The 12,042-nt window shown below is 40.5% G+C and overlaps 1 protein-coding gene across 12 annotated transcripts in view; it reads left to right on the plus strand.

Moving 5' to 3' along the window:
* Nucleotides 1–12,042, plus strand: part of DNAH6 (dynein axonemal heavy chain 6) — a 360,018-nt gene that overhangs the window by 239,283 nt on the left and 108,693 nt on the right. For all 12 annotated transcript variants that reach the window (XM_011532650.4, XM_011532649.3, XM_006711956.3 and 9 more), the window contains 9 exons: nucleotides 740–880; nucleotides 2,243–2,485; nucleotides 4,541–4,708; nucleotides 5,213–5,448; nucleotides 6,632–6,893; nucleotides 8,042–8,165; nucleotides 8,666–8,862; nucleotides 10,489–10,692; nucleotides 11,433–11,558. In XM_011532650.4, coding sequence (XP_011530952.1) covers nucleotides 740–880; nucleotides 2,243–2,485; nucleotides 4,541–4,708; nucleotides 5,213–5,448; nucleotides 6,632–6,893; nucleotides 8,042–8,165; nucleotides 8,666–8,862; nucleotides 10,489–10,692; nucleotides 11,433–11,558 — 1,701 coding nt within the window. The remainder of the gene's footprint in view (nucleotides 1–739; nucleotides 881–2,242; nucleotides 2,486–4,540; nucleotides 4,709–5,212; nucleotides 5,449–6,631; nucleotides 6,894–8,041; nucleotides 8,166–8,665; nucleotides 8,863–10,488; nucleotides 10,693–11,432; nucleotides 11,559–12,042) is intronic.

The following is a 12,042-nucleotide window of genomic DNA, read 5'->3' on the forward strand; positions in this document are numbered from 1 at the left end:
CATTAAAAATAATGAAATTGTGTCCTTTACAGAAACATGGATGCAGCTGGAGGTCATTATCATAAGCAAATAATGCAGAAACAGAAAACCAAATACCACCTGTTCTCACTTATAGCTAAACATTGGGTAACATGGACATAAAGTTGGGAACAATAGACAACGCAGAATAAAAGAGCACAGAGGGAAGGAGGGATGAAAGGGTTGAAAAACTACCTATTGGATACTGTGCTTACTTCCTGGGTGACAAGATCAGTCATACTCCAAACCCCAGCATCACGCAATATATCTTTGTAACAAACCTACACATGTACCCCCAGAATCTAAAATAAAAGTTGAAAAAGAAAAAAAAAAACTCCCATACCATGCAACTTCTGCCAGGCTCTGCACCTGTACAACTGTGCAGCACCCTGCCCCTCTCTCCCAGATGTCTTCTGCCCCACAGCAAAACCTTGTATGAATGGCCCTTTATTCAAAGGATCTCCTCAAGTACACGGGTGAAAGGGACCTAAATCACATCCAGAACCCTAGCCACGATGGAGTTTGCAAAATGTCATTTTTAATCTTTCCAGACTGTGTGAGAGAAAGAGGTTGGAGTGAATGTTGAACAAGAAAATTTACATATCTACTATGCTGACATTTTATATTTGATATTGGGAGCCTCAGATGCATTAGCCAACACTTATTTTCATTGTTGCTTAATCATTATTTTAAACTGAAAAAATAACTTTCTTTTTGTCAGGTGTTTCAATACTTTATCAGCAAAGTGCGTCAGAAGCTGCACATTGTTCTCTGCATGAGCCCAGTTGGGGAGGCCTTTCGGTCCCGATGCAGGATGTTTCCATCCCTTGTGAATTGCTGCACCATTGACTGGTTTGTGCAGGTTGGTGACATCCCAGGATATCTCTTTGAGAAGTTGGACTTGCTTGACTTTAAAGGGGTAACACATTGTCCAAGAGTAACTCATGGGTACTTGTATTAGCTTTAAAGCCTACTAGGAATTTATTCATATAGAGAATGACCGTGACAATCATAGAACAAAGACAAAACAGAATTTGTAAAGTAAGAGACCATTGAATTTAGCAATGTGGAAGTTATCAGCTATCTTGACAAAATCTGTTTCAATGGATGGTGGGAGAAAGGGTTCAAGAGAGAAGAGGGGAGAGAAATCTGAGTCAGTGGTTATAGGCAACACTTTTGAGTTTTGCCCCAAAGGAAAGCAGAGAGATGGGGCAAGAGCTAGGGGACATGTGAGGTCAAGAGAGAAGTATTTTTAAATGTGAAACACAAGCGGCATGCATGTGTGCTGATGTAAATGATCCAGAAAAGATAAATATATGGATGATGCAGCATACCGAGTTAAGCGCTGTGGGACCAGTGTCCTTGAATAAGCAAGAAGGGATAAGAATGAGTCATCAAAGAAGGGGCTGACCTGGTCAGGGTGCATCCACAGCCTACCCCTGAGTAACAGGTAGGGAGGCAGAATATATGAGCACAGATGCAGGTAGGTAGGAAGATGTGGGGGTAAGAGGTCATTGAAGTTCTGTTTTCATTGCTATTGTTTTTTAGTGATATGGGCAGTAGGATCATCAGCTGAGAGTGAAAAAGAAAGACTAAGTGTCAGCAGTTTAAGGAAGTAGAATCCGGTGTGAAATACTCAGGAGAGCATAAAACTGATATATTAGAAAATGTAGAAGCATTTCTGGGCTGCACTAAGCTAATTATCAAAAATTTAAAGTGATACTAATTGGCAGCCATGCTCAGCTGCACAGTTGCAGGCATGAAGTAAGAGAGTTGCATTTGACCAATGTTCAAGTGAGTTCAAAGAAGCAAGAGAGGAGCAAAGGAGTTGAGGTGTGCAGGGCAGTGATTATAATGATGGACGTGAGGTCCCAACTATGTAACAAACAGAGTGAGGACGTAAGGTCCCTGTAACATATATGATTTATTTATGGAATTCTAGAAGCACCCAATCATTAATTCATTCAGTCAACAAATATGTATTGAGCAACTTCCGTGTGCATGATACTGTGGAGACATACTGGTCACTAAATGCAGACCCAGGCACCCCTCAAATGGACAGAGCCCTTCAGTTCATTAAGCACCATAGACATGAGTAGGAGTTAACTAGGTGAAGAGGGGACTGGGCAGGGAGGAGTTCCCGAGAAATATGTTTTTCTTGGTATTAAACTGTATGTTATTGAAATGACACAACAGATTTTCTAGATTTTTCCTTGATTCACAGTGGCCCAGAGAAGCACTTCTTTCTGTGTCAAAGACATTTTTCTCACAAGTCGATGCTGGAAATGAAGAACTGAAAGAAAAGCTTCCCTTGATGTGCGTGAACGTTCACTTGAGTGTCTCCAGCATGGCAGAGCGCTATTACAATGAGCTGCGCAGGCGGTACTACACGACACCCACCTCCTACCTGGAGCTTATCAATCTTTACCTGTCTATGCTGTCTGAAAAAAGGAAGCAGATTATTTCAGTAGGTTCAATATTATCCATGAAAATATTGTTTTGCTTGAACTCAGAACTTTTGAGAATGCATGGAAACTCTATGCACTGTCTTACCTGTCAGGGCCCTGTATTAGTCCATTCTCGCACTGCTATAAAGAAATACCTGAGACTGGGTAATTTATAAGAAAAGAGATGTAATTGGCTCACAGTTCTGCAGGTTGTACAGGAAGCATAGTGCTGGCATCTGCTCAGCTTTTGGGGAGGCCTCGGGAAACTTTCAATCATGGCAGAAGGTGAAGAGGAAACAGGCACATTTTATGTGGCAAGAGCAGGAGCAAGAGAGAGAGGGGGGTGGTGCCACACACTTTTAAACACCAGATCTCACAAGAACTCACTATCATGATGACAGCACCAAAGGGAGGATGGTGGTAAGCCATGAGAAACTGTCCCCATGATCCAATTACCTCCCACCAGGCCCCACCTCCAGCATTGAAGATTACATTTCAACATGAGATTTGGGTGGGGACACAGATCCAAACCATATCAGGCCCTCTCCATCATGACATGTGCCCCTGACAACCTAAAATATGACCAAAAAGTGTTTCCTGCTGTTGGTCTGAGGGCCTTCTCCTTTTCAATAATTATATATATTTTCCTTCTGCCATTTATGCAAGTATCCTTGACTCAGTAGAATGATATGGGCATCACAAGACCATCAAAGTTATGCAGTGAACTGGTCATCTCTATGGTATTTAATACAGAGGAAAACATTTTGTTAAGCAATACAGATGGTGTTTTAAAGAACATGTGCCAGTGGTTCCGACTAAGAGCAAGGACTGGGGTATCAGCCAAACTGTGTACAGCCTATGTTCTGCCTCTGGCTATGCAACTTTGAGCACATTAGTAACTTCTCTAAGCCTTAGTAGAAAATAAGGCTAAAAGAAAATCTGTATCTACCTCTTGGATTGTCGTGGAATTTAGGACACTTTGTTAGTGAATTCCTGAAACTATGATCTGACACATATAAAGTGCTCAGAAAATAGAAGCTGCTGTCATCATCATCATCAGGAAATTAACATGACCTACAATTTTCTACATTTTAAACACACTAAAAATGGAAGCACTTACAATATAGATATTTAAATTTTTTCAGAGGGTTCTTACCTGGTTAAATGCCTGCCTTGTGAAATAACTTGACTGATATTTTTGAAATCTGCCCATTTGAACCAGCTTTTTTTTTTTTTTTTTTGAGATGGAGTCTCGCTCTGTCACCCAGGCTGGAGTGCAGTGGCATAATCTCGGCTCACTGCAACCTCCGCCTCCCAGGTTCGTGCCATTCTCCTGCCTCAGCCTCCCAAGTAGCTGGGACTATAGTCAACCGCCACCACGCCCGACTAATTTTTTGTATTTTTAGTAGAGATGGGGTTTTGCTGTAGCCAGGATGGTCTCAATCTGACCTCGTGATCCGCCCACCTCAGCCTCCCAAAGTGCTGGCATTACAGATGTGAGCCCCTGCCCCAGCCATGAGCCAAGCTTTCTGACTCACCTTCGAAAAACAGTTCTTCCCAGGTGTCTCCTTTACCAGATACCAGCCCTTTGATCATGGTCAAGAGTTTTCTACCACAGGGAAGTAGGTTTCAAATCCAGCAGCTAGAGCTACACCCTCTGGACCTCATCTCCCTAGGGGTCCTCAGCCCTGCTGGCCAGAGCAAACAAGCTCCCAGAGCTGCAGCCTCCAGGGATTCACATCTGGACCTGTTCCTCACTCATTCAACATGCTACCACAGGGAATAAAAACAGTACCATGTGGTCCTTACTCTCAGTGAGCCACAGCCCAGTGACGTCCCACTGCTGTGGCCAGAGGGCATGGATCCAAACAACTGTGATGAATGTCATGGCCATTTCTAGAGTTCCATTATCTGAACATTTCCCAATTTGTAATATGTTCACAACCTGAATTATTACAAACTGATTTAACAATTCTGTAGACGTAAAAGTCTAATACATGAGTAATATGTGTTCGATACCAGTAAACTTAGAGTTTATAATGCTCATTATAATATAAATTTTCATTGTCACTTAGGCACGAGATCGGGTGAAGAATGGTCTCACCAAGCTACTAGAAACAAACATACTAGTAGATAAAATGAAACTAGATCTTTCAGCTTTAGAGCCTGTACTTTTAGCAAAATCAGAAGATGTTGAAGCCCTGATGGAAAAATTGGCAGTGGATCAAGAAAGTGCCGATCAGGTATGCTGCAGTTCCTGAGAATGTGGAAAAGGCTTCTGTCAGCAACTGATCACTTATATATAATGAGACACGATTGGATTTTTTTATTATATATGTTATTAAAATAATTAAGTGATAGATTTAGCAAAGTTTTTTTTTTTTTAGCAATTTAGCAATGCTTTTAAGTTGTAAACAATCTCCCTTTACTAAATCAGTTTGGCTCTGTCCCCAAGAATTGATGCAGCCCAATGAATAGGACAGAGAATTGTGAGAAAAGCACCACCTACAAATATAAAGCAACTATGTCTCTCCTAAGATGGAACTGTTTGTTATAATAAGTTTATATTCATTATGCTATTGGCATGGCATAGATGGACAAAGGAGAGCATAAAATGCAATCTAGCTAATTCCCTTTCATCATTATTCTAATCCAAAGGGCAAATATGACTCACTATTATTGGCTTTGTTTTGAATATTAAAATTCAAATAATGAGGCCACTTAAGCAGTCATGTTTCAATGGTTAGGTCCGTAACACTGTGCAGGAGGATGAAGCAACAGCAAAAGTCAAAGCTGAAGAAACCCAAGCAATAGCTGATGATGCTCAAAGAGATCTTGACGAGGCACTACCTGCACTAGATGCTGCCAATAAAGCACTGGATTCCTTAGATAAGGCAGATATATCTGAAATCAGAGTTTTTACAAAGCCCCCAGATTTGGTCATGACAGTAATGGAAGCAATCTCCATTCTTTTGAATGCCAAGTGAGTAATTCAGAGTCATGTATTGCCATGATACCTGGTAAGAGTTCTTTACTGTTTTCCTCCATGGTAATGTATATATTCATTCCCTTCTCCACCTTCTCATTGCTTCAGTTGGTCATTCAACAAATTGATTCAAGGAGCATTTTCTTCCCCAACATCTATTTTGTACTAGATGGTGGAAGATATGTTTTTCTCTGCAAGATATACACAGGCTAGTGGGAAGACAGACATGAAAACTAATAATTTCATTGCAATGTGAGAGTTGTGTAGTATTGGGAGTGCTGAGAAAACAGTGCCTAAGCCCAGCTGGGATGTGCAAGTAGGTTTTTTGGAAAACACTGCTCAGTTGGATAGTGGGACCATAGGCGAGCTCAGGAATGAGCTTTAATGTTCTTGGAGTGGGATGGGGCTGGGCAGGAGGCCAGTGATTGCATCACGAAAGGTCTTAAAAGCTGCACTAAACACTTCAGATTTCATCTTGGAGATATGTAGTTTTCAAACTTTCTTTAGTGATACAAACTTTTTTTCAATAAAATTATGTTGTAATGAACCTTTCTGTGTAAAACTAGGCAAAGGGCTCAGAGCACCACATCACCACCAGGCTTCCAGGAGACAGGGTGGAGAGGTTCCCACTGACCCTTAAACTGGTACCTCGGTAGGACCCAGAGAGCTCTGCAGAGCACAGATAGAGAGCTGTGGGCAGAAGGGACTGAGAATCGTTGAACATTTTTTATCTAATCAGATTTTCATGGTAGGAAGATCAATCTGGCAAAAGTTCAGAAGAACAAAGTTCAAAGAGACATAAAGCCCAGTTAGAAAGCAATTGTAGTGTCCTGGCAGGTGATTTTAAGGGTGGGAACTATGATAAAGGAGGTAAAATGTGAGTGCCTGCGGCGTTTTAAAAATAAAACTATTGTTTCTATAATGCCTTACATTTCTAAAACTGTGATTTTGTAATTCTTTCTCTACCAAAGCTGGGTCGCATGGAAACTTAGTCACCCATTTTCTTTTCGCCCCCTGAATTAATTGTGGTGCACCTAACTACCAATTACTAAAATTATAGTACCAAGATTAAAATTATCCACTTATTGGGATAATATCATAATGTTCTCAAAGAAATACATTCTTTTGTTCTTATATTACTTCATTTCAGTGCCATTAATATATCATGTCTGTCTTTCAGGCCTGATTGGCCATCAGCAAAGCAACTTCTTGGTGACTCTAACTTTCTAAAAAGGCTTTTAGAATATGATAAGGAGAACATAAAGCCTCAGATATTGGCAAAGCTTCAAAAGTATATTAATAATCCTGATTTTGTGCCTGAAAAAGTGGAGAAAGTGTCCAAAGCATGTAAATCTATGTGCATGTGGGTAAGAGCTATGGATTTGTACTCTCGAGTGGTCAAGGTCGTCGAACCAAAAAGACAAAAGCTCCGCGCCGCACAGGTACATTTTCTGTATTGTGATATTTTATAGAATTGAAGGCCATGATCGCCAGTCATTTCAAGTTCTCTGTATAATGTTACTGTGGTCCTACGCAATATAGACAGTGACAAAACTCTTGGAAATTAGCTTTTGTTTTAAACAAGAGCTGGCAATTTTTTTTCAGAAATTGCCTCTGAAATCAGCCTTCTTTCAGCATAAGAGGAACATGAGTTCCTCAGTATATTCATCTGAAAAAAAAGGAATTAATCTCTTTCTTTAAGGTACTTTTTAGCTCAACCATCTGATGGTCTGTATTTCCGTTTGCTAAATACTTCCGTGCTTGATGGTGTCATCTGAGGTTTTAGAACCAGCTTAACCCTGTCATTGGATGTGAGGCCCTTCATCTTCCCAAGAAGAAAAAAGAATGATCATTTAGTGGAGCAGGTTACTGAAAGAACTGTGGCTATAGAGCAGGGGTTGGCAAACTTTTTCCATGAAGACCCAGAGAATAAATATTTTATGCATTGCAGGCTATATGGTCTCTGCAGCGAGCACTCAGCTCTGCTGTTGCAGCACAGAAACAGTCATTGACAATACATAGATGAATAAGCATGACTATGTTCCAATATAACTTTATTTATTGACTCTGGAGTTCAAATTTCACACAGTTATCACATTTCATGAAATATTATTCTTTTAAAGATTTTTTTCTAATTATTTAAAAATGTAAAAACCATTCTTAGCTTGCATACTGTACAAAAACAGGCAGCAGGCTAGATTTGACCTGCAGGCCATAGTGTGCCGACCTCTGATGTGGAGAACTAGTTAGGAAATATTAGTTTCCACTATGGCATGAATATTTAATTTGTTGCATCATTTAAAATTAATAATCCATTATGATACCTAATTCATCCCAAATGCTCAGTACACCTGTTTCTCTATTATGATTTATTTTGTTGGGCTTTATTATTGATTTTGTTTTGTTTCATTTACTTCTGTTCTTGTATTTTACTCTAATTTATATTTGTTTTAACTTTATGTATCACATCAAAGTCTTTTTGGACATGAAAAGAGGAACATATATAAAATTTTTTTTAGATCTGTATTATTAATGGGCAAATTCAGCCTTTTTTTGGCCCTGTTCTTAAACAGTTGCTTGATTTTATTAGGCTGAACTTGACATTACCATGGCTACCCTGAGAGAAAAGCAAGCATTACTAAGACAAGTAGAAGATCAAATACAGGCCTTACAAGATGAATATGACAAAGGTGTAAATGAAAAAGAAAGCCTGGGTAAGTAACTCATAAAATTTACATTGGCCAGGAAATGCCTGATTTTCAGAAGTAGGAAGAAGTTTTTGGCAATCAGGTTTCAGCTTTTATCCAATGTGTAGAATGTATTTTCATTAGCCTCCTAGGATCAAATAAGAACTCATGTGTTTTATATATTCAACATCCTGTACCTGAACAAGCCTTACTGGAGCATGTTACGTTAAAACACAAAACAGTATGTGAATTTGATCCAGAAGCTAAATACTACAAGGATACAGAAAGCACTGTCTTCAACCAGAGTAATGGAGTATCAAAAAAGAGTTTTCGATAAGGAAAAGGCAAACTTAGACTTGGTTCTGAAATGGGAATTAATGCTGAATTGGTGTAAGGTTTCATAGAGATGTATTGACATCATTAGCTAAATAATGCTATTCTGCTATAAAAAGAAACAGGTAAATAAGCTTTTAATACTTTATGAAAATATTTAATAGTATAATCTGATTTTCTTAAAATTTTTCTAGCAAAGACCATGGCCCTGACAAAAGCACGTCTAGTACGTGCTGGAAAGCTGACAGCAGCATTAGAAGATGAGCAGGTTCGATGGGAAGAAAGCATACAGAAGTTTGAGGAAGAAATATCAAATATCACTGGGAACGTGTTCATAGCAGCAGCTTGTGTGGCCTACTATGGGGCTTTCACAGCCCAGTACAGGCAGTCAGTGAGTAACCCTGCTTTCTGTAAGGAGGGGTAAGAAGCAGCTGAAACTGGAGCCAGGGGTGGTTCATTTTTCTGAGTTCAGATGGAGGCTCTCCACTGTAGAGGTTCTTCATGGTGGAATTTCTTTATATATTTCACAGCGCTTCACTCCCCAATAAGCCAGTGATGGTCTACCCCTAGGCTTTCCTTAACACGTTCCTCCCTTTCCTTCTCCTGTCTTAGAAAGCTATTCATCATTTACACAGCTCAAAAACCTGGGGGAAGGAAAAGAGACAGTGAGTCCCCTACCCTTATGATCACAAGTGGCATGTAAAGCCAGCCTGGATGAGATGTTCTCAATTGGTGAAACTGCAAGAGGGCCAGTCAAAAGAAAGGAGCAGGCAGGACCAGGAGGAATCTGTGCTTCCTTAGGCTTTTATCTCTATAAGAAAGAAAGCCTCAGCTGGGTGCGGTGGCTCATGCCTATAATCCCAGCACTTTGGGAGGCCAAGGCGGGTGGATCACCTGAGGTCAGGAGTTCAAGAGCAGCCTGGCCAACACTGTGAAACCTCGTCTCTACTAAAAAAAAAAAATACAAAAATTAGCTGGGCGTAGGGGCAGGTGCCTGTGATCCTAGCTACTGGGGAGGCCGAGGCTGGAAAATTGCCTGAACCCAGGAAGCGGAGGTTGCCGTGAGTGGAGATTGCGCCATTGCACTCCAGCCTGAGCAGCAAGAGCAAAACTCTGAAGAAAGAAAGAGAGAAAGAGAAAAAGAGAGAAAGGGGGGGGGGAGGGAGGGAGGGAGGAAGGAAGGGAAAGAAAGAAAGAGAAAGAAAAAGAAAGAAGGAAGGAAGGAGGAAGGAAGGAAAGAAAGAGGGAAGGAAGGAGGAAGGAAGGAAAGAAGGAAGGAAGGAAGGAAAGAGAGGGAGATAGAGGAGAGGAAGAAAGAAAGAGAGAAAGAAAGAAAGAGCCTTTCATTTATCAGAGAATAAAAGTTTCATCTACATGCATTTTCCAGGAAATGAAATTATTTGAAAGAATTTTAGTCATTTTTTTGAAATGTCTTCCTAAAAATGTTTACCCTTGTCCTTCAGTTATAAAACCTGATATAATACTCTCATATAGACTCTCCAGGAGCTCTAAGCTCTTAGGGTGCCATGTTTCTCACTGGGGCCAATTGTGCTTTTTGGGGACAGACAGCTCTCTCTTCTGCATGACTGCACCACTCATTGAAGGAGGTCATATGCCAACATCCCTATCCCTCATCTACTGATTGCTTGTACACCCTCAGTCATTGTGATAACCCGAAACTTCTCCATATGCTTTCAGACTCTCCCAACAGGGAAAATACAAACCTGGTTGAAAACCACTGCGACAACCCAGTCATTTACACATGAGACAACTGAGGTCCAAATAGAGGGAATGATGTTTCCAAAGTCACATCTAACTAATGGTATAGTCAGAGTACCTAGGCCTCCTGATTTTGGTCTACTTCCTGTGTCCCATGCTCTGATGCAAGCACATCTGTGGAGACTGGGAGGGCTTAGCTCTTCAGCCACTGACTTACCACTGCCCACCACATTTTGCATGTGCCCTCGTTTACTGAGTGTTCCTGACTCTACTCAAGTAAGCTTTCCCCCTTCTACAGCTTATAGAGTGTTGGATCCAGGACTGTCAGTCTCTGGAGATCCCAATCGATCCTTCCTTCAGTCTCATTAACATTCTTGGAGATCCCTACGAGATACGGCAGTGGAACACTGATGGGCTGCCCCGTGACTTGATATCAACAGAAAATGGCATTTTGGTTACTCAAGGCAGAAGATGGCCTTTGATGATTGATCCCCAAGATCAGGTGTGTAGCAAATGCTTAAGAGAGTGGCTTTTGGTTCTGCTTAATGTTGAGCTAGCTATTAAAAATTATAAAAGTGGGCCTCAATGTACTTGGAGATTTAGATTTAACATACATGGAGATTTAGACCTAGAAGAGAGTGTTAAAGTCCTATAGTCCAAGTCCCTCATTTTGTGGATGAGAAAGTAAGAAAGGAAGAATTGAAGTGCTCCCGTACTTGATTTTGATTGGTTTTGTTTAGGGGAATGACCATTCATTTTTTGTTTTCTGTGAGGGCAGAAATCCACAGATCTTCATTCTTCTGTAGTCCTTGTTCCTAAAAGGTCTGAGGAATGAGAGTGAAGTCAGGGTATGATCAAATTTTAGGGCAAGCCTGACTGGAATTTACGGTTGACAGCATCCCATTTTCTGACTCCCTAAGTTCATGGATCAGGTTGTACTAAATAGGGTTTGGAAGAGGGAGCCACTGTGGAAGCAAGGGAGACCAACATGAATACCATAAGCATGAACTCTGTTCCCAGATGACTCTTTCTTTATTTCTTCCACATCTAAACAAAGAGAAGAGTCCCAAACATTGGGCTTAAAAGATGTCTTTATTGTCGGGGGACAGGGGAGTACAGTTTATATATTTCAAATTTGTTTCTAGATTGAATAACATTTCCACACTTTCTTCTAAAGCTTTCGCTTTCTAGCCATTTATTATGCTCTGAAGCAAATGTTCTGCTCTGTGCTTTTCCAAACAGGCAAACCGTTGGATAAGGAACAAGGAAAGCAAAAGTGGTTTAAAGATCATTAAGCTTACAGATAGTAATTTCTTACGAATACTCGAGAATTCAATCCGACTTGGTTTACCTGTCTTACTGGAAGAGGTTTGATTTTCACTTCCTTTTCTCATGTCAGTTCCCAACTTTCAAATCATATCTGGAATCCTATATAGGCCACATCCCCATCATGCTAAAGACACCAGTCAACTCCATTTTCAAATTGGTCAAACCAGTTCCTCTTCTCCTTAAACAATACATTATCACATTGCAAGAGGGGTGGGAGGGAGGACCTGTTGACTTTCAGACATTGTTTTAGTGTTAAGAGGGCTGGCCTCTGTTTCCTGACACTGCTGTTTCACAGGCCTCATTATGGCCCTTGATGGTGAGCTGCGCTGAAAATTCACAACAGTAGTGCAGTCAGGATTATGTACATACAATAATGATGCGAAGCCAGTAAAATATTCTAGTGGATACAAACATTATTTTTTACTTGGGCATAAGTCAGAATTGGATTAAGTGAATTAGATAAGAATTAACTTTTGTTAAAAAAAAAAAAAGAAGAAGAGGAAGAAGAAGGGAGGGCAGTGTT

Source organism: Homo sapiens, chromosome 2 (genome assembly GCF_000001405.40).
Source record: "Homo sapiens chromosome 2, GRCh38.p14 Primary Assembly".
NCBI classification, from domain to species: domain Eukaryota; kingdom Metazoa; phylum Chordata; class Mammalia; order Primates; family Hominidae; genus Homo; species Homo sapiens.